At 41.1% G+C, this 22,499-nt stretch overlaps 1 long non-coding RNA gene across 3 annotated transcripts in view, besides 1 other annotated feature; it reads left to right on the forward strand.

The window, feature by feature from the left end:
- Positions 5,175 to 5,816: an enhancer, noted in NCBI's record as "OCT4-NANOG hESC enhancer chr7:108233899-108234540 (GRCh37/hg19 assembly coordinates)". NCBI's record gives its function as "activates a minimal SCP1, AML or CMV promoter by ChIP-STARR-seq in naive H9 embryonic stem cells {active_cell/tissue: H9 hESC(naive)}" and the evidence as "EXISTENCE:reporter gene assay evidence [ECO:0000049][PMID:30033119]".
- Positions 10,094 to 22,499, forward strand: part of LOC105375448 (uncharacterized) — a 40,971-nt gene continuing 28,565 nt past the window's right edge. For 2 of the 3 annotated variants that reach the window (NR_187939.1, NR_187941.1), the window contains exons 1-3: positions 10,094 to 10,145; positions 13,153 to 13,298; positions 14,856 to 14,988. This is a non-coding gene — a long non-coding RNA (uncharacterized LOC105375448). Of the gene's footprint in view, positions 10,146 to 13,152; positions 13,299 to 14,855; positions 16,840 to 22,499 lie in introns of those variants that run through there. The other variant, NR_187942.1, reaches the window with a different exon arrangement.

Consider the following 22,499-nt stretch of genomic DNA (forward strand, 5'->3'; position numbering starts at 1 on the left):
TAATTTGATTTTCTGAAAAGTTACAAAATCCTTTACTTATATGATAAACTAGACTCATCTGCATTGGGACATCTTCCTTATACCAAATAAATGATATCTGTTAATAAAGATATTGGGATACAGGTTTAGTCATCCACAAATTTTTTTTAAATTTTTTTTTAAATTTTTTTTTTTTTTTTTTTTTGAGATGGAGTCTCGCACTATAGCCCAGGCTGGAATGCAATGATGTGATCTTGGCTCACTGCAACCTCCACCTCCTGGGTTCAAGTGATTCTCCCGCCTCAGCCTCCTGAGTAGCTGGGATTACAGGTGTGCACCACCACACCTGGGTAATTTTTGTGTTTTTAGTAGAGACAGGGTTTCACCATGTTGGCCAGGCTGGTCTCGAACTCCTGGCCTCAGGTGATCCACCCGCCTTGGCCTCCCAAAGTGCTGGGATTACAGGCGTGAGCCACCGTGCCCACCTCACAATATGTTTTTTTAATCCCAAATGATAACATCTCTTTTTCTATAACTTTTCTATCATTATTTTTCTTCCAGATATTTTAGTGTGAGAAAATAATTTTCTGTTCAAATGCCATTGTCCAAACTGTCAGAGATACTATCTTATAAGGAATTATTATTGGAAGGAAACAAAATCAGTTTATATATCAATACTGGTGGATCTTGAGATACTTAGAAAACTAGGTCACATCCCCTCAGTTATGAGATCAGAGGGGAACTTAAAAGAAAGAAGACTTTTACCTTGTTAGAAAGTTAAAATCAAGTGTGAACTCTTTTTATGTAGACATCTTCTGTGTGAGTTTATTTTTTAAGGACTTTTATTTATCTTTTTTTTTTTTTTAAGAGACAGGGTCAGCCAGGCAGTGGCATGATCACGATCATAGCTCACTGCAATCTTGAACTCCTGGGTTCAAGCCATCCTCCAGCCTCAGCCTGGACTGCAAGGCATATGCCACCACACTTGGCTAATTTTTTAATTTTTATGTTCTTTTTTTTTTTTTTTTTGTAGAGACAGAGTCTCACTATGTTGCCCAGGCTGGTCTTGAATTCCTGGCCTCAAGTAACCCTTGCATCTCCACCTCCCAGAGTGCTGGGATTACAGGCATGAGCCATCATGCCCAGCTGAGGACCTTTAAAAGAGCAACTCCTCCCTGTCTCAATTCCTCTGAGCTGCTTGTATTGGCACAGTGACATGCAATTGAAATTTCATTTTCAAGCCATAATAAATGGTATACTGAAAATTTCCCCTATTTGTTAGTTACAAACAAAACAATTCTGTCTTTTCCTCCACTTCTAGAATATTTTCAAATTGGTCATATAGGAGGTCAAAAGAAATCTCTATGAATTCATGTTTGACAATCTATAAAGTATGTTTCAGCTGGGACTGCTAACAGAAAAGACTGATGTGAACCTGATATCACCAATGGCTACTTTATGGGACCTGAAAAGAGCTTCATAGAGGATTTCAGAGCCATTTAGCCCTAGGTCCAGCTGTGCCTGAAACCATCTTTCCTTGAACACTTCAGTTATATGAGACAAAAAAGTCTCCTTTTCACTTAAGCCAATTTGAATTGAATTCTAGCACTTGCCACTCACATGGACATTTTATCAAGTGTCAAGGGCAACAAGGAGTTACACTGAGTTCCCCCAGAGAAGGAAGGAGAAAGATAGAAGCACAAGGGAAGCTAATGTTTAGATCACAAGATAGAAACTGCTGCCCAGGAGGAGAGAAAAAACCCCTGAGGTTGGAAGAACGCAGGGTGTCTGATTAATGAATGGCAGGGCTATCCTCCCACTCAGCTGCCCTGGAGGATTCCACAGAAATGGCACATGCATGCCTGTGATTTGTTCCTTAAGTGCCTCAGCCTTAAGAGCAGTAGTAATGCCTGTGACCAATCCTGTGGTCAGTGTAGGGTATAGGGCTCCCAAAATATTGTGCCATGGCCTAACAGGGTTATCCAGTTGCCTCAGTGTGCTGTAAATTTTTTTTTCATTTTTACTGTATTCCCTGATGTAAAAAAAGAGATTGGAAAGCACTAGAAGAGGATTGCCATGTGAGGTTTCTATCATAGAGCTTGTAGCAGACAAATCATCATCCCCCAAAGATGTCCATGTCCTAATTCCTAGAACCTGCGAATATGTTGGGTTACCTGGCAAGGGGGAATTAAGGTGGCAGATGGAATTAAGTTTGTTAATCAGATGGCTTCAAAATAAGGAGATTATTCTGGATTATCCATGTGGACCCAGTGTAATCACAAGGGTTTTTAAATGGGAAGGAGGGAGACGGAAGAATTAGAATCTCTGGGAGATGGCATCATCCTGAGAAAGACTGGAGCTGCCCTTGCTGGCTTTGAAGATGGAGGAAGGGGCCACTAACTGGGGAATGCAGCCAGCTTCACGAAGCTGGAAAAGGTAAGAAAATGAATTCTCTCCCATGGTCTCTAGAAAGGAAAATGGGCCTTCCTGACACCTTGACTTTAGACCAGTGAGGCCCACTGTGGACTTCTGACCTTTGGAACTCTAATGTAATAAATCTGTGTTGTTTTTGTCCACTAAGTATGTGGCACATTGTTACAGCTGCAATAGGAAACTCATAAAGTGTCCTATGGATGGAAGTTCTGTGCTTGATGGCAATGCGGGCAACAGCAAGAGGATCAGTAACAATGATGACAGATGTGGACTAAGGGCCAGGCCTGCCCAATTTTGCTATTATTGTGTTAGTCCCAGGATTCTTGTAGATTTCTCAGAGGGATGGCAGGTGCATCCATAATGATGATATTGACCATCCCATCAGCAGGTAGGTGGGAGATCCAAACCAGATTTAAGTTGATTTGGAAAGTTAAGTTCTTGGACCAGAATGTCATGGGACAAATTTATACCCAATAATATGCCTTATCGATTATGTATCATCAATTTTGAATCTTATTCACTTATACTCTCTTGAAGTCACTTTTTGAACCAATTACCAATATCATGTCTCTTTTTTTTCTTTTGAGACGGGATCTCACGCTGTTGCCCAGGCTGGAGTGCGGTGGTGTGATCTCGGCTCACTGCAACCTCTGCCTCCCTGGTTCAAGCGATTCTCATGCCTCAGCCTCCTGAGTCGCGGGGATTACAGGCGTGTACCACCATGCCTAGCTAATTTTTGTATTTTTAGTAGAGACAGGGTTTTGCCATGTTGGCCAGGCTGGTCTCAAACTCCTGGCCTCAAGTGATCCATCCATCTTGGCCTCCCAAATTGCTGGAATTACAGATGTGAGCAACCACTTCTAGCCTGAATATCATGTCTTTACAACTGTGTCTGTCTTTTTTTTCTGGAGAATTTCTGCTACTTGAAGTTTATGCACTTCTCCCATTTGATGTTATTCTCAGCAGCAATAACACTACTTCATCTGTGTTAATTGTCACTAAACTTTGGTGATCTCTTTTTCAACTTGCTTCCACTGTGAGCAGAACTCAATTAACTACAAAACTTGTCTCTTCTCCTATTATTGACCACCCCTCCTACTTGCATTAATGTCTTTAGGCTCAAAGTCTCCTCATCCCTCTTTCCATTCTCATTTCTGAGGACGTTCTGTTGTCTTGCTATCTTAAAGGCACAGAACATCATAAAAGATTATGAATTTATTCTCTATTATGGCTATATCCAAACTTCTTACTCTCTAAACTCTGTTGTTGCAGTTTGTTTAAAGCTTTCTTTTTATTACGCTCTCTGACTTTACTTTCTTCCTACTACTTTTCCACTGAATTATAAGCACCACATTATTAAAAATGATTATCATTTTGTTATTGACGGCCTAAAGCTTTTAATTAGAAGTTGATTTGTAACAGTTTATATAGTTGCTGCTGCATAATAAAAATGCAGAAACATTACATTCAATTTCATTTCAGAAAGAAGCATACTGCTAATTGGCTAGAAAGCTCTTGTATTGGTGGTATGCAGTCACATATTTGCCAAAGTCTCTTTTATTTTTCCATTTACTTTGAGTAGTGATGGGAAACTGTAGACTAAAGTCTCAGATACTTAATTTTATTTGTTGACTGCGACTGGGTGGTCGGTTGCTGTTTTTCACTTATCTTGAAGTATTTTCTATAATAAACTACCATGTAAAGAGTAACTTTGCAGTCTTAGTGCTATTATGTCTTATAAAAATCACTTGGTATATATTGTCCTAATTGCAGTTTAAGATGCAGCATTTGTTTTAATCAGCTGGATTAAAAAATATGTTGCCCAAGGGTGAAAACTTTTTTTCAAAATTGTCAGCTTCTTTATTTTTTTCACTATTACTAGGAAAGAGGATAAAATCATCCTTATTGTATTTGAGTTACTGCCTGAGGGACAGGGTTTTTTTCATTTAATTTCACTGATGTATTAGCATTTGTGACACAGCAGAAGCTGGAACATTACAAATGTCTGTAATTGTTTGCATTGCTGTAGGGAATATAATGTTGTTAATATCTATTACTGGACTAAACGAATGAATTAAGTAGCCAGAAACAAATATGATTGTCAAGCATGATTTAATTGGTGTATAGCTTTGGAACAGCTGCCAAATTTAATATGGAGGGTGGAGGAGGGTTTCACATTTGCAAATACCAATGTTAGACACCTCTGGTTCCCCACTAGATGGGGGCCGTGCTTTGCTGTAAAGCTGTGTACAGCCTGGATGCTGCAGTGTGGTTTAAAATGATCTACAGATTTTTTCTTTTCCTTCGATGTTCTGTTGCTGTCTTTCTATTGTTAGCTATTATCTGTGCCTCATGCATGCTTTTGCCCTTTGGAGTGGGCCATAAAAGAGAGGATTAAATCAGAAGGAGGGACCAGAGGGTAGAATGAGTGCCAACCTAAGTTCCACTGTGGAAAGGCTGAGATTTTCCTTTTATTTTCCTCACTGGTTTCCTCTGCCTTGCTTTTGGGTGTACGGTTGTGCCTGGTTGCCTGGGACCTGTCTTCCTTGGGTGCACCTGGTATATTTTGAAATATACCTTTTCAGTGTCCTGTTTCCTCGTATAGATTTGGATTCCTATTTGGGTTCATCAAATACTGTACTCATTGGGCAGCTTTTATGTATTAGGTACAGTGCCAAGCATTTTCACATCAGCCATCTCATTCTCACAATTCTGTGGAGCAGAGGTTATGATCCATTTTTCAGCCAGGTGGCAGTTAGCTATTCTGGAAAGGTAATATGCTAAGCATGTCTTCTAAATTGGCATGCTTGTGAACATTTCCACAATATTTCAATATTGTGGCCCAATAAATTCAGAGTATGTGGGGACAGACATTATTAAAAAGGCCTATTTGTTGTAGGACTTCCCTGATTCTTTAACAGTGACTTCTGGCCATTGAAAATCCTCACCCTGTCAAAATCCCATTAATGATATTTCTACTACTTTGGATGCAAAACTCTTCCTTACATGTCTGTGGTGTCTACGGATGTCCTAATTTAGAACAAACATTCTTCTGCAAGATCAAATGTTCCCATTAAAAATGCTACTCAGAATACTGCTAGTTCTAGCCAGCATCTTCACAGCACTTATGGGAAAGAAAGAGATCAGCAGGGAGCCAAATCCCCAGAACAGCAGGTGAATTGTCAATCTTCTTGGCAGGAGGTAGGATGGAAGCAACCAATGATGGCATCTTTATTGTGTCACTTTTATTTTTCTTTCTTTCTCTCTTTCTTTCTTTCTTTCTTTCTTTCTTTCTTTCTTTCTTTCTTTCTTTCTTTCTTTCTTTCCTTTTCTTTCTTTCCCTTCTTTCTTTCTTTCTTTCCTTTTCTTTCTTTCCCTTCTTTCTTTCTTTCTCTCCTTCCTTCCTTCCTTCCTTTCTCTCTCTCTTTCTTTCTTTTTTTTTGAGACTGAGTCTCATTCTCTTGCCCAGGCTGGAGTGCAATGATGTAATCTTGGCTCACTGCATCCTTCGCCTCCCGGGTTCAAGAGATTCTCCTGCTTCAGCCTCCTGAGTAGCTGGGATTACAGGCACACATCACCATGCCCAGCTTTTTTTTTTTTTTTTTGTATTTTTATAGAGACGGGGTTTCACCGTGTTGGCCAGGCTGGTCTTGAACTCCTGACCTCAGGTGATCTGCCTGCCTCAGCCTCCCAAAGTGCTGGGATTACAGGCATGAGTCACTGTGCCCGGCCTTGTGTCACTTTTCATAGCATATATATTAGGAGGTCAGTATCTTCTGCTACTTCATCAGGTTTAATGACTGGCATTACCTGGAAAGTTCTTCTCCTCTAATGTCAATTCCTAGATTACGGATTATGGCTTTCAGTTGTCCCAGGTTGTCCTGAATCTAATGGCTATATTTATTGGAAATCATGGATATTAACATATACTTTCTCATCTAAGGGCTGAATTGTGTGAGCTATTAAACAATCATGTTTCAGTAAATCAAATACTCCATTTCACATTGAGGCTTATCGATACGAGGAAAATAAAACTGTGAGTTTTCAAATTCTCCAAGGACAAGGATCTTTGGAACTCTGCCCCTAGAAATGCTGGAGTCATCTTCAGATAAGACCTAACATCAGTACCCTCACTGACTGCCTGACTTGATGCTGGGCTTAGCTCACAGGCTCTTTTCCTTTCTCTTGGTTATTTTCTTTTTCTTTTTCTTTTCTTTCTCTCTCTCTTTCTTTCTCTTTTCTTTTGTCTTTCTTCTTTCTTTTCTTTCTTTCTCTTTCCCTCCCTCCCTCCCTCCCTCCCTCCCTTCCTTCCTTCCTTCCTCCCTCCCTCTCTGCCTCTCTCTCTCTTTCTCTTTCTTTCTTTCTTTCTCTCTTTCTCTTTTTCTCTTTCTTTCTCTTTTTTTGTTTTTAAATCAAGGGGCCTTTCGGCCTTCTTTGCCCCTTAAGTTTGGTCGGTACCAATGCAGTTCACAGATTTCAGTGGTGAATCTTGATATAAAGTATTGGAGTTTTGATCCTTTCTTTCTTTCTTTTTTTTTTTTTTTTTGAGTCTCACTCTGTCACCCAGGCTGGAGTGCAGTGGCATGATCTCAGCTCACTGCAACCTCCGCCTCCTGGGTTCAAGCGATTCTCCTGCCTCAGCCTCACGAGTAGCTGGGACTACAGGCGCCCACCACCACGCCCGGCTAATTTTTGTATTTTTTAGTAGAGACGGGGTTTCACCATGTTGGCCAGGCCGGTCTTGATCTCCTGACCTTGCGATCCACCCGCCTCGGCCTCCCAAAGTGCTGGGATTACAGGCGTGAGCCACTGCGCCCGGCCTTGATCCTTTCTTTCTTAGAAGGCCTCTGAACTACTTGTGCAAATTTGTTCACATCCTTCAGGACACTTCAGAAGTCTCTCTTTGCCACAACCCCCATCATATACATGTATATTATTTATTATATTTCTGCATCATTGGACATCTTATTATCAAAAGCCCCAAACAAGCAAAAACAACTTCTTGTAACAGGATACTAAATGCAACACTTCTTGTTGTGTCAGAGGAAGGCCGAGGCCACAGGCTGGGAGCAATACGGCGATGTCAAGTAGTCTCGCAGTCTAAAGCAATGGACCAGACATGCAAAGACATGTGACCTCTGGTTCTGCCGCCATTGTTCCAATGCCCACCTCAGGTCTACAGAAGAGAAGCAAGGAAGATGCAGAGTGAGGATGACTTTGTAGACACTTAACCTGGCTCTGTTGTCCCTACCCAACATGCACTTCAGGAAAACTGAAATCTGACCGCTGTTGAAAGATCTCATGGGAGAGGGTATGGCTAGAGCTGCCCCAGAACTTCGGGGAAGGAGACAGGACTGTGCTGGGGATGGCCTCTTCTTCCAGGGTTTGGGGAGCAGGGGTGAATCAGTATTTGGCTAGGTATGGATACTGTGGAAGGCAACTGGACTGGGTTGCCTTGAGAGGGTCTTCATCCTAGAGGAATGCTTTCCAGGTCAAAGTGACCCCAACATAAGAGGAGAATACTGGGAACTAGGGGGCTGAGCAGGAAGTCCAACAGCACCTGCTGGAGGAGTCCCCCAGCATCAAAGGAACTACAGAGAAGAGATCCTTTGAGTCATGGGGAGTGGTCTCTAAAGATACTACTGAAGTCCTACACAAGAGTTCTCTTGGGCCATTTTCTCAGCCCAGTGGGCCCCAAAGCAAGATTACAACTGTACCCAGGTGTAAAACCTTTTGGGACCTTCTCGCTCCTCCTTCTTCTCTCACTGTGGCTCCATCCAGAGGTCCCAGAGTGTCATACTAAGTATAGCAAGGATGAGAAAGAAGTGGGATGTTCTGCACTTCTCCACTGCAGGATTTTTGGCCTGAGGAAGGAAGAAGAGAGTAAAACTGGATAAAAGACTAAAGTGTTAGTAGTAAATTTGGTCAGATATTTTATTGCCTAAAATGCTCAGAGGGCTTTAAATTACCTGAGACTGACCTGAAAATATACAGGACCTGCTTAGGGTTTCCTTCAAGGACACAGAAGAGCAAGCTGTGAGAGCCAGCGCGAGTCACTGAGGGGAGCAGGAATGGCTGCCCTCTGCTTGCGCCCTTTGAACTTGTCAATCTGTCATAAGGAAATCACATTAATGGGATGTTTTTCTGCTACAAATAGCTTTTGTTTTCACATTTTAATTACAGGGCTAGATTTTTCTTGATTTCTAAATTATTCGAAGACCTGGGCAAAAAGGAAAATGAAAAGTAATGTTGTTTCAAAAGATGTCCTTGAAATTCCAAGCAGCCTGTTAGTTGGGAGAGGTGGGGTAGAAAGGAGAGACCATGTATGTTTGTCCCCATATTTCCCACGACATGACCAAACTGGACCCATGGGTCCAGTTCGTCTAACGATGAATTCTGAACCCTGTAGATGTTTTGTTCTACTGGGAGGCACTATTCAGGAGGCATTGACTGTTAGGAAGTAGCTGAGGCTGGTCTGATTTACTCTGGCAACAATGTCCTAAGGAAAATCTCCGGGAGGTACTGGGTCTGTCTACTACCTTTACTGCAGTCCTGGTATCATGGGTGAGTGCAGATGTCCGAACTCATCAAACTGCACTCATTCAGCTGTACACACATGTACAGTTCTTTGTATATCTATATCTCAAACACCTGCTGGTGGGCAAAGTGAGTAAATCCAGGGCCTGGGAGTGAATTTAAAACATTTTGCATAGATTTATTCTTTCCACACTTTTCAGAAATCAGAATGATAAGATTTAGAAAGAATTACAGAGATAGACTTTCACAACTCAGTTTACCAACTGTCTTTTTTTTAATCAGAATGGTTCCTCCCCGCATTTTTAACGTATAGCTAGTTTTGAAGTCAGAAGGAAGAGTACTAAGATTTGCAACTTAAAAGAAATGTTCATAGTTTCTTTCTATCTTGTCCAACTCTTTCTTCCTTGGAGTTTCCCTTGGAAAACACAGCAGTACATAGTTGCCACCTCCTGTTTCCCCAGCTTTCTCAGTAGTGGAAATTAATTCTAATTTAGCTCTTTTAATGAACTTACTAATTTGTTCAGAAAATGTGTTCATAAACTTCTACAACCATGGACTACCCTTAAGCAATTAAACATGTAAAAAATGAACATTTTTCTGGCCTATAATGACTGAATAAAGTAGCTCAGGGCCTAAGGGGAAAGGGAGGCTCCCCTAGCCAGCACTAACTAGCAATATTAATTGATAATCCTTAGCAGTTATCCTTAATTAAACCTCATAACACTCTTGTGGGGAAGATGTCTTTTTTTGTTGTTGTTGTTCAGATGAGGAAACTATCCAAAAGAAGCAAAATGGTAAAGTACCTGCTTAAGCCTTTGGCTTTTTGGTCATGTCGCAGGAAGTATGGGGACAAATATACATGGTCTCTCCCTTTTACCCCTTCTTCTCCCAACTAAAAGGCTGCTTGGAATTTCAAGGACATTTTTTGATACAACTTTACTTTTTATTTTCCTTTTTGCATAGGTCTTTGAAGAATTTAGAAATCAAGAAAAATCTAGCCCTGTAATTAAAATGTGAAAACAAAAGCTATTTGTAGAGAAAAACATCCCATTAATGTGATTTCCTAGTGACAGATTGACAAGTTCAAAGCAGTAATGCATGTTGCCATGGGCACCAGATTCTGTTTGCTCGGCTGGCTCATTTTACTTAGCTGCTGAAGAAGGAGAGTCGCATTCAGCCAGGGATCACTGAGCATTGTAAGAATAGATTTGTAATTTTTATGTAATACCCTCTCTTTATAAATCTATACAGATAACAACTGTGAACAGCTTATAGTCACTTTAGGGGCAGAGTTTTCAGAATCTCTTAGGAATATAGATTGCAAAAGTAGGGGTGGGGGCAGGGAGTGCTTTTTCTCCCTTCTCAAGCATCTCATCCATAAGAGGCTGTAAATAAATATTTGTAAAAAAGATGGGGGATGGATGAATGGTAACTCATTGTCATGTGCTCGCTACCTGAATTAAACTTTGGATTTGTGGCGGCAGGGGGTGCGGGGTGTTGGGACAGAAATTGTGATGAAGCAAAGAAAAGGCAGGGGAAAGAGAAGAATATCAGAGAAGGAAGCAAACATTCTGGAGTGGCTTATAATCATTCAGACACAGGGACACAGAATTAAATCTGCCTGTGTGCAGAGGAAGAGGGAGAGAGGGCAAGAATGAGTGAAACAGATGGAAACCCTAAGACCACTGGAGTCAAATACACAAAAGCAGTTATGCTGATGATGTTCTGGTGTCAACTCTCATCCCTCTTCCTTCATTAGGTGCTTAGAGCACCTAACAGGGAGTAAGAAATGGGGGAAAAACTTGCCCTATCTGCAGGTACAGGATTGGTTCCTTGGCGTTGAACCAAAGAATGAAGTTTTGCTTCATTTGTTTCAGGTTATCGGGGCCAGGTGACTTTCGCTTTGAATTATGCATTTTTCCTTCCCTGACAAATGAAGCCTCCTGCCAATGCCTTCAAATCAGGAAAGGCTCCTGCTTCTCGCATTCAGCAGCAGGCATTTCACAATTTAAAATGATGGGTCCAGAATTGCAGTGAAAGTGGCAATATTTCATAGTGATTTTCTCCCTTCCTTCTCACTCCTACCCCCATGTTCAGTGTTGTCTAAGCAAATTCTGGCAGTGTCTTTTGTATCTGCATGATGCTTAAGTAAGCAAAAGACGGGGGAAAGCAAATGTCTTCCAAATCTTCATTTATCATAAACACAAATTGTAGCTTCAGCTCTTTTGCTTGATGCAAATAAGCTGACAGATGTGTATCATTGGCAGCAAATCTTATAACTGACATGGCCCCAACTGCCGCTAAACATATGTCTATATTTTTGCTGGGAAGGGATAAGATTGGGAAGGAAAATTAATTGGTGTTAATGCTCCCTGACCTCTTGGCTCCACTTCCTCCTTCTCTGCTTCATTCCTTCCACGCACCTTTTCAGAGCTCCAGTCCCCAGAGGGCTAATGGCTTGGCTGTTCCCAGGGTTCAGGGTACCCCTCCTCAGTTTACCTGAATTTCAGGCTATTCATTCTTCCTCTCCTTCATGCATTTCCTTCTCAACTCCCCCAACCACCAACTGCCACCAGTTACTCATCTTTTTCAGTTATTCTCTGGCCTTTGTAGGTAAATGATTGATAATGATTTCTGAGAGTCTGCTAATTCACAAGTATTAATAGAAAATAATAAAATCGAGCATTGTTCTTCAAACATTCCCACTGCAATCCTCTAATGATAGAAAAAAGTGAATGAGTATCTCTAACGGGGCTCAGAGAGGTAGGATGGAAGGTGTATTAGTCAGTTCTCATGCTGCTTATAAAGAAATACCCGAGACTGGGTGATTTATAAAGAAAAGAGATTTAATTGACTCACAGTTCTGCATGGCTTGGGAGGTCTTAGGAAACTTACAATAACGGCGGAAGGCACCTCTTCACAGGGTGGCAGGAGAGAGAATGGGTGCAAGCAGGGGAAATGCCAGAAGCTTATAAAACCATCAGGTCTCGTGAGACTCACTTAATATCACAAGAACAGCAAAGGGGAAACTGCCGCCATGATCCAATTACCTCCACCTGGTCCTGTCCTTGACATGTGAGGATTATGGGTATTATAATTCAAGATGAGATTTTGGGTGGGGACACAGCCAACATCTGACACAGCCATATCAGGAGGTAAGAGAGTAAGTCTGGGGGAAAGAAGCCTTGGGAGAAGGAAGTCTTGAGGGAAAGTTCTTAAAATCTGTTTTAAATTGCCTACCCTTTAAATTACTTGGCCTCACCCTTCTAAAATTTCTAGCAAAATTCACGTTGTAGAAAGACATGCCTTATTCATCCTGTGCTTTTTCAACACACCTGGAACACTGCTGTGTACTTCTGAAGGTGGGCAGAGGTAAACCTTTAATTCAAACAAATAAATCTCCATTTATTATTGATCTTAGCCTTTAACAACTTTTATTAGTATGTTTATATCACAAAGGTAATATTTGCTTTTTTTCTTCAAATAACACCAAAGAGTGCCAAGAAAAATGTTCTGTCTTCTTAATCCCATTCTTTCAGAGATAATCACTAATAATAATTAGCTAGTTATTCTCTCAGACTTTGAAAAATGCATATCATTATATGGTCTATAATTTATTCTAAAATACTTAAGTATCTGTATTTCAGCTTTAATCAATACCTTAGGGCTGATTAGTTAACCTTTGACATGCCCTAGTCAAGGCAAATACTCCAGAGATGATTAGTTACCAATAAAAAACTAATTAGAAGGCCACACTCTAGAAGAACCTAGAACACACTGCAAGCTTTCCAGTTATTTTTAAAATTTATTTAGTATAATGGATATTAGAGATATTTTTTCCTTAGTAAAATTACTAGAGATTAAGATGTGTGAATTGGCTAGAAATATTATATAGGTACTCCTGTCCTTGGTGAATAGGGAACAAGAGTCTAGTTAAGTCCAATTCTATACACTTTGCATGGCATGTTAGGTCTAAGAGTCCATTCTGTCCTCTGTGCATTTAAAAGGGAGAATTTTATCATTTACTTCCAACTAGGTTTACTGAGTACTGTAGGTAGACTATTGTCACATCTGCCTCTGATAAACCTTTAATACAAGGTCAGTTGGAGTGTCTAAAGGAACAGAGAACTGGCACTTGGTCTTACAAGGGGAGATGGTGACTATGTTTGTGCCTGCCTGCTAATAAAATTTTTGTTCCCTCAGCAAAAGTCCATCTGAGACCTGCTTTCATTGCACTGCCTCGTGAGGAGCTGTAGGAGAAGATATCATAACTATTCCCCACTTCTAATTGTTAGAAGCAACAGCTGTCTATCAAGAACAATCTGAGGATTGTGCACAAATTGATTTGGGTCAGTTTCAAACATATGTATAGTAAGATGAATAAATAATAAACAGACATGAAAATATATACTCCTTTAAAAAACAACAAAAATGGGATTATACAATATATACGGTCTGCTCAAAATCTGTTGTGGGGTAAATCTCTAATTCTGGGAATTTTGGGTACCTGCAGGATACTGGTGGAAGTGATTTTTGGGTAAGATGGACTTTTATAAAATTTCAAATTTCTATCATCCAAGTGAATGTTTGTTCTGCTGATGGGTTGAATCATCTCTTCACAGTTGGCCAGGCATTTAATTTTTTTTTTTTTTTTTGAGATGGCGTCTTACTCGGTTGCCCAGGCTGGAGTGCAGTGGCACAAACTCGGTTCACTGCAACCTCCACCTCCTGGGTTTAGGTGATTCCCCTGCCTCAGCCTCCCGAGTAGCTGGGATTACAGGCACAATAACCACACCCAGCTAATTTTTGTAGTTTTAGTACAGACAGCGTTTCACCATGTTGGCCAGGCTGATCTCAAACTCCTGACCTCCAGTGATCTGCCTGACTTGGCCTCCCAAAGTGTTGGGATTACAGGCGTGAGCCACAGTGCCTGGCCCGGAATTTAAAATTTTTTTGTATTTTCTGATTTTCATAGTACAATGCATTCATCATGGAAAGATTAGAAAAATAATTTTTCTTTAAGAAGAAAATTAAAATCATCCATAACTTCCCCATTGGGAGATATGTTACTGACAATTTGATGTGTTTCCTTCCAGTATGAGTGTATGTGCGTAGATATCTTATAAATAAAATCAAACTGCAGGTACAGTTTTCTATCATGATTCTTTTACTTAACATTATATAGTAAGCATTTCCCTAGTTCATTAAAATGACTTGAAAGCATAATTCTATGGTTGTCTAATAATTCCATCATCTAGATATCACTAAACATTTCCCTGTCATTGGACACGTAGATATCTAGATGTTTATTTATTTATTTATTTAGACAGGGTTTCACTGTGTCACACAGCTGGAGTGCACTGGTGGGATCTCAGCTCACTGCAGCTTTGACTTCTAGGGCACAAATGGTTTTCCCACTTCAGCCTCCTGAGTACAGGTGCACCCCACTATGCCCAGGTTAATTTTGTTTACTTTTTGTAGAGACGAGGTCTTACGATGTTGCCCAGGCCGGTCTCCAACTTGTGCACTCAGTAATCCTTCCATCACAGCTTCCCACAGTGCTGGGGTGTGAACCACCATGGCTGGCCTAGATTTTTTGTTTTAACATGATCATGTTGTGATGTATCTTAGAATGGAAGGTTTTACTCTTATCTCTAATGCTAGAATCTTGGGTATTGTTTGGAAAGAGTAGTTTTTTATAAACTGTTTCAACCTGCTCCTTCATCTATTATCCTCCAAAAAATCAACAGAAAACTCTGTGACCTCGTGCTTTGCCATTTAGAAATATTTGAAAGGTTTTTAGAAAAAAAATTAGGATGTTCTAAATACATGTTAGAAGCTATGCTTTTTTAAAATAACAAAACAAAACAAAACAAAGGAAAAACATCTTTTTGTTCTCTTCCTAGTTCTATCAAGTGCTGGCTTTCGATTCCAGTCTGACTTCACTACCACAGGAGCTTCTTGCTCAGGCTTCTGTTCCGGCTCCATTCTCTCCCTGCCATTATAATGCCATCCACTGCAGCACCATCTCTTCAATCAGTGAGTTCATCCTTTCCTCCCTCACTTCTATTTTCTTGAGAGGAAATAAGCATTTTTTTTTCTTTTTTTAGGCAGAGTCTCGCTCTGTTGCTCAGGCTGGAGTGCAGTGGTGTGATCTCAGCTCACTGCAACCTCTACCTCCCAGATTCAAGCGATTTTCCTGCCTTAGCCTCCCAAGTAGCTGGGACTGCGGGCATGCACCGCTATGACTGGCTAATTTTTGTATTTTCAGTAGAGATGGAGTTTCACCATGCTGGCCAGGCTGGTCTCGAACTCCTGACCTCAGATGATTCACCCGCCTTGGCATCCCAAAGTGCTGGGATTACAGGTGTGAGCCACTGTACCTGGCTGGAAATAAGCATTTAATACTTATGTGTGATGCCCAGCAGATGCCAACAGTATTCATGGAGAGTCCCATTCCCAAGCTCTACAAAGTAGGGGTGAGGTAGAGCTAACCATCCTGTTTCACAGAGAAGCAGAGGGATTCACAGCTGTTCTCTGCCAGCCCTCATGTCTCACGATTCTGTGAAGTGACAGTTTCCATGGGCTCAGAGTAGTTGTTGCGAAGCTTTCTAGAGTCCTCTGACCCTGGAAGCTGCTAATTAAAGTGCCACCAAGATGCTTCCAGCGACTCTGAGCTAGTTACACGTACATATTAAAGAGCTGACCTTCCCCCTTCTTGTCTGTCGTACCCCACTGTGAGTGCTGTGGGTGGTCAGCAAATAATAACAGTTAATAACTTTCTCTTATTCTTTCAAAGCTCTTCAGAAATGCAAATTGCTGCCTTCAGAAGGAAGCACACGGGCCTATGAATTTTATATCAGCAGGGATTACCAATGAGTCATGCTTGATGTTGTAAAAACTATTCAGGTAGGCAGGCAGGTGCTGCAATAAGAGAATAGCATCCCTTTCCTGAATGTTCAGTTATTGAAGTGCACGCTCGCATGGGTATACACACAACCACACATGCCCAACTCACAAAAATAGACAATTATATAAAATATATGCCAAAATCTCCACAGAAAGGAAAGCTAAACTCTTTAAAACCAAATGCTTATCACGCTGCCGAAGAGAAGTAAATCTGTAAGGTGGTAAGCAGTGTTAATATGTGGGCGAGTGCCAGAACACATGCAGATGTGTGTTATTTATGCCTTTAATTGTTATTTCCAGTAGGTATCTGGCTGTCAGTGCACATGAGTTAAGTACCGTAAAATAACAGATGTCACACATCTCACAAGAACAACAGGGAGTCAATATACGCGGCAGAGTAAATCTGATTACCTTAGATAGTAAGGAAAAGAGAAAGAATGCAAAACCAGATGAGCCTATGGCTGTAATTTAAAAAACAAATTATTCCATTTGAATATGTTCTATAGTAATTATGCATTTATACTGAGTACACTAAGAGAAAAGCCATCTTGGAAGAACAGAGCCGATTTGGGTAATTGCAGTGAATTCTTATAATTTTATGTTGTCTTGGCATCCATTTTGAATACAAATTTAAGTTTGTTATACCAGAAGCGGAGCTCGATCACCCTTGACACAGTTTCTGGTTCTACACCACACCCAAATGGGCCCAGACGTGGCCAGAGATAAGAACCTAGAGGCATCTCTTCTGCATACCAGGGCTCCCTGCTTTCTCATTGGTTCCTTTAAATGAACCAGTCAGGCATTTGCCTGTGAACTGAAAGTGCCCCATACCCTATTCGTATATATATACTGCTGGCTGCCCTCTCTGTCTCTCTCTGCCTGACTCTTTGTTCTTGCCTGATGTGACCCAGGGATGAAGACTGTTCTTGACTCATTGTGCCCTCCCTACTCAGTCTCTGTAAATAAAAATCTTGGAACTTGTTTCCTATGGTGGTGGTATGTTGGATTTGCACCTTCCATCTGAAGAACCAGGGGCTGCCCCAGGCTGGGTTTCTTCCAGGAAGCCAGGGAGAGCTCAAGGTTGGGCTCCCAGTGCCAGGGCAATGGTTGGGCAGGTATAAGCTGGATGCAGGTCAGACAAAAGCCATAGGGCATCTGCTGGCTTAAACAAGTTTCCCATGTGAGGGACCATCTCTCTACCCACTTTTGGTCACTGATCAGACTACTAGGCACTAGGCCATCAGCCAAGTAAAAGAAGCATCCCCTGAAAGGCCCACTGCAAACATCCACATAGAGCTTCCCTACATTTCCCATTAGGGCAGGATTGCTAGCTGCCCTTGTGCTGGAACCCCAGTTTAGCTGGGGACTCTCAGTAACAAAGTTTCTCTTAATTCTTAAAGGAACCAAGAAAAGGGGCAGAATAAGTGAGAGAATGAACGAGAATGAAAAAAAGAATAGAACCAGTCGGCCAGTGACATTTTCTAGTGAAACACATATGGGATGCAAGAAAAGGACTCAGAAAAGCCTTGGGAGTAAATATTGAAATGATCTTGAATGATTTGGCAGGAGAAGATGTGTCAGCAGGGCTTACCGTATAGCTCCGAAGGATGGTGATGACGACACCACAGACCAAGATAGTTTACAAAGGCTTAATGGAGCTCAGATATTTGAGAAAAAAAAAAAAAAGATTAACCATATTCAGCTGAGAAAAGGGAACACAAACACATCTGGGGAAAGTAATCTTAAATAAAGATACTCAGATGGAGAAAAACATGTGTCAAGCCTGGACCTGGAGTAAAAGCAGACAGAAAAAATTTGAGTTGCAAGGGATTACAACAGCTCAGAAAGGTGAGAAGTCCCTTCTGTGGTTTTAAACGCAGAGGTGTCTCATTATGAAACCTTGATAAAGGATTTCATGTCTCTTTACAAATGCAATGAGATCCTCGTTACATATCTGAATAAATGAACCATGCCCACAATATACAATGCATTTTGAGGTTTGTGAATATGCAAAATGTAGCTGAAACTGTTCTAACTCCAACTATCATTTCTAGTCAAATGATTTTATAGAAACTTGTTTATCCTAAAGTGTAATTTTCAGATTGTAAAGAACTATTTAATAACAATCACGTTTACTATGTGCTGGGCACTTTTGTGAACACTTTACATATTTAAGTAAATAAATCCTCAGAACAGGCCCCCTCAATAGGTGCAATTGTCCCCCCACTTTCAGCAGATGAAGAATCCAAGTTACAGAGAGCTTAACGACCTTCCCAAGGTCACACATTGAATAAATGGTGATTCAGGGATTCAAACCCAGGCAGAGGATCTCCAGAGCTCATGCACCTTTAGCACTACACTAGACTCTCTGTCTGTGGCAGAAAAAATCTAACTAGATAATTCCCTTTAGTTTGGAGGATAGACTTGATCTGTGAATGAGACTAGAAGGGCCAATGAGATATCCCCAGCCTCTACCATTTATCTGGGACTATATCTTCCTGTCTACTCGCTTCCAAATATCCAGTTCCCCCTTAAAGGTAATCTGTGTGGCCTGCAGGACATGGGGACATGGGGTCTTATGTTATATTTTGTGCTCCAGCACCTGGACATGCATCATCTTTGGCGCATTGAGCTGGAGTGGTCGTGGAGAGACACAGACATGCTGAAGACTATGAGGAGCCTATATAGACCTAAGAATTCCTTATGACTTTTGTGATTTGATTGAGAAATTAGAACTGCAGTTAATTTTAGGAGAGTGTTTAAAGTGACCACAGTGGATAATTTTGGAAAATTCTCCGTGTAAACATATATAACTATGCTACATGTTACTTACAAAACATTCATTTCTTTGGGGACACTATTTGTCTCCCCAGAATCTTGAGGCATAGATGGTTGCCCCAATTACTGTGCTTTTAAGGAATACATAAGATTATGATTACATCAGAATACATTTCTCACTGGGCTGCCATTGTGCTCTTCTTTTTTCCTCTCTGGCCAAAGTCTCTTAGAAGTAGAGTTACTACTTTTTTTAGACAACAAAAGCATACTGCCTCTGGAAGACCATTGTTTAAATCCAAACTCAACGTAGGGTGAGTCTTGTGACTGATCAAATTTCCCTCTGTGCATTGGCAGCTATGAGCCTCTGAGCCAGAGTTGTGACCCAGTCCTAGTAAATATATCATCACCCTTTATTGTCTTAACATCTCTCCTATCCTTACCATTTGCCCAGTTTCTTTCTTTTCTTTTCTTTTTTTTTGAGATGGAGCCTTACTCTGTCAACCAGGTTGGAGTGCATTGGCGTGATCTTGGCTCACTGCAGCTTCTGCCTCCCAGGTTCCAGTGATTCTCCTGCCTCAGCCTCCTGGGTAGCTGGGATTACACGCACCTGCTACCATGCCCGGCTAATTTTTGTATTTTTAGCATAGACGGGGTTTCACCATGTTGGCCAGGCTAGTCTTGAACTCCTGATCTCAGGTGATCTGCCTCCCTCGGCCTCCCCAGGTGTTGGGATTATAGACGTGAGCCACCGCCCCCAGTCCATTTGCCCAATTTCTTGACTTACCGTTTTACTGGTGTATGCTGAATTGTATCCCTTTAAGATTCATATGTCAAAGTCATAACCCCTGGTATTTCAGAATGTGACTGTATTTGGACATAGGATCTTTAAAGAGGTAGTGAAGTTAAAGTGAGGTCATTAGGGCAGGCTCTAATCCAATATGACTGGTGGTGTCTTATAAGGAGAGATTAGGAAACAGATACACAGAAAAAAGACCATGTGAGGACACAGGGAGAAGGCAGCCATCTATAAGGCAGAAAGAGAGGCCTCACTGGAAATCAACCCCAAAGGCACCTTTGTCTTGGACTTACAGCCTCTGAAATTGTGAGAAAATAAATTTGTCTTGTTTGAGCCTCTCAGTCTATGGTATGTTATTATGGCAGTCTGTTATGGACTAAATTATGTTCCCCCAAAATTCATATATTGAAACCCTAACCTCCAGTGTAGACTGTATTTGGGGATAGGGACTTTAGGGAGGTAATTAAGACAGGTGGGTCCCTAATCTGATAGGACTGGTGACATAATAAGAAAAGGAAGAAACACCAAGAGAGCTCCCTCTTTCCATGTAGAGAAGAAGCCAAGTGAGGACACAGTAGGAAGGCAGCCGTCTACAAGCTAGGAAGAGAGTCCTCACTAGAAAACAGTCCCAATGGCACTTTGACCTTGGACTTTCAGCCTCCAGAACTGTGTGAAGATAAATTTCTGTTATTTAATCCACCTAGACTGTGGTATTTTGTGTTGGCCCTAGCAGACTAACAGGTAGCCCTAGCAAACAAATACATTTACCTTGTTCTATTGTTTGGATGTTTTTAGAGGTGCCTTAAATCTTCATTGGAGCAAACCATGTTTGTGTTGATCTCATTTGTAGATATGAAAAAGGAGTAAGTGTTAGCCTGTTTTAAACTGCAAATGCAGTGATTAAAAAAAAGGTATCAAAATGTGCAAGCCAGCAAAGTGTGGCTAAAAAAATGTTTTTATTGATTAATAAACTTCATTCTCTTAAGCAAAATGAAGTATTAACCTCATAATTATTAAACTCCAATTTTTTTGAGTGAAGCTTATGGTTAAATAAGCCAATAAAAATGAACTCTGCTTTTTTGGGTGCAGAAGGTAATTTGAAGAAGATGGACCAGAAAACTGAGCTTGAGTCTTAACCTGGCACTGCTGTTTCTGCCATTCGGAGAAGCTGACTGGCCTCTTCAACTCTTGCATGGGAGCCTTAGTGGTGACTCAGCCCAGGGACAGTCCAAAAAAAATCCCTTTAATGTGAACCTGCTGCCAGCCACATGTACCTTGAGGGTGGAACATCTCAACCACAAGAATTACCTTCTTTGGGAGTGGGAGAGTTGGAGATGAGATGGACTAAAGTTTTGGTGTCTATTGATTCCTTTCCTTCATCTAAAGTTTAACCTCTTTCTCCCTTTCAAGAGATTGGAATAGAATTCTCAGTTCAATAGGCCCATGTGATGAGGTCAAGAGAGTTGTGTTCAACATTTTATCTTTGCTTTACTTCTCCTGGCTCACTAAGGGATCATTCACAATGAGAGGCTGGAAGTAAGCTGATAAAATTAAAATGTAGCACATGGCATATCCAGACAGAAATAACTTGTGCTAAGAATTGTGTCTGGCTTACCTGGTTTTGCCTACCATGGGCATCTTCAATTAACCAGCTAAGATAGCTGGTATAAGTATTCAAATATAGTAATGTCTAGACTTATTATTTAATCATATATATGTATGTGTATGCATGCGTTTGTATGTGTGTCTATCTATCTATCTAACTATATATCATCTGTTGATCCGCCATAATCTCTAAAGGCTATAAAGTATATTAACCAGGATTCTTTAGTTATAGGTAGCCTAAGCTAATTCTTGTTAATGCTAGCAAAAAGAAAATTTATTGGAGGTATTCACCATAGAATGTATAAGCTTAGAAATATGTTGGCTTCCATGCTATCACAGAACAATAACAGAAACCAGAATAGTTCGGCAGATCTCTAGGCAGTGGAGATTATCTGACCATCTTTTATAGGCTCTGCTCCTGCAATGAAGGTGCCCTAAACTTAATTTTTAAAAAACTATCCTTGTATCACTTCTCTCTATGTTCAAAGTCCAGGGAGAGAGAATTTCATTCCATGACTTGGTGCCAAATCTCTGGTTAGGGTAAGGTACAGTTTGACTAAGGCTGCATGGAGAGGTGGAGAAGTAATTCTCCCAAAAAGGACTTGATATAACACTAGGAAGAAGGAAGCATTCTTGGTTGGCCAAACAGTAACGATAACAATGACAATAATAACAGCAAGAAATGTCCACTGTATTTTAACTCCTTGTTTCTGATTTGGTGATCTGATGAGGGTGGCTCCTCTCCAGTGTGTCTTAGGATGTTTTAAATTCAATTAAATTTGTTTCCTTTTAGAGAAAGGGTCTCACTCTGTCACCCAGGCCGGAGTACAGTGGCACAGTCACACTCAATGCAGCCTCAAATTCCTAGGCTCAAGCAATCCCACCACCTCAGTCCCTGAGTAGCTGGGATTACAGGCATGTCGCCCTGCCTGGCTACTTTTTTATTTTTTGTAGAGACGGGGGCCTTGCTATTTTGCCCAGGCTGGTCTCAAACTCTTGGCCTCAAGAAATCCTCCCTATTCAGCCTTTCAAAGTGCTGTGATTACAGGCATGAGCCACTGTGCCTGGCCCTCATAGGCTGTTTTTGGCACCCCCTATCTGAAAGAGGATGTCTACCTGTTGCTTTAGGATTCATGCCATTTATCACAGAGAGTGGTTAGCCTTTATTTATGCTCTGCTCAAAGCGAATTTAAAGTACAGAATTACCATCAGCTAATTTGCAAGGTATAGTATCCTTCCAGGATCCTTTGGAAGCTGCTGGATGCCTGCTGCACGAGTTTTGGAGGAAGCATGACTGTGGGAGTCCCCCCCCTTCATCCTGCCCTGGGTCTGTGTGCTCTCGGCTGGCTGTCTCTCGTGGGACAATGAGGCTACTCTTCTTCAAGGCTAGATGATAAGGGCTTCTGGTCCTTCTTGGTGGAAATGGCCACTTTTGCATGGAGGCTAAGCTCAGGCCATTTTG

The sequence above is a fragment of the Homo sapiens genome, chromosome 7 (assembly GCF_000001405.40).
Source record: "Homo sapiens chromosome 7, GRCh38.p14 Primary Assembly".
Lineage (NCBI taxonomy): Eukaryota > Metazoa > Chordata > Mammalia > Primates > Hominidae > Homo > Homo sapiens.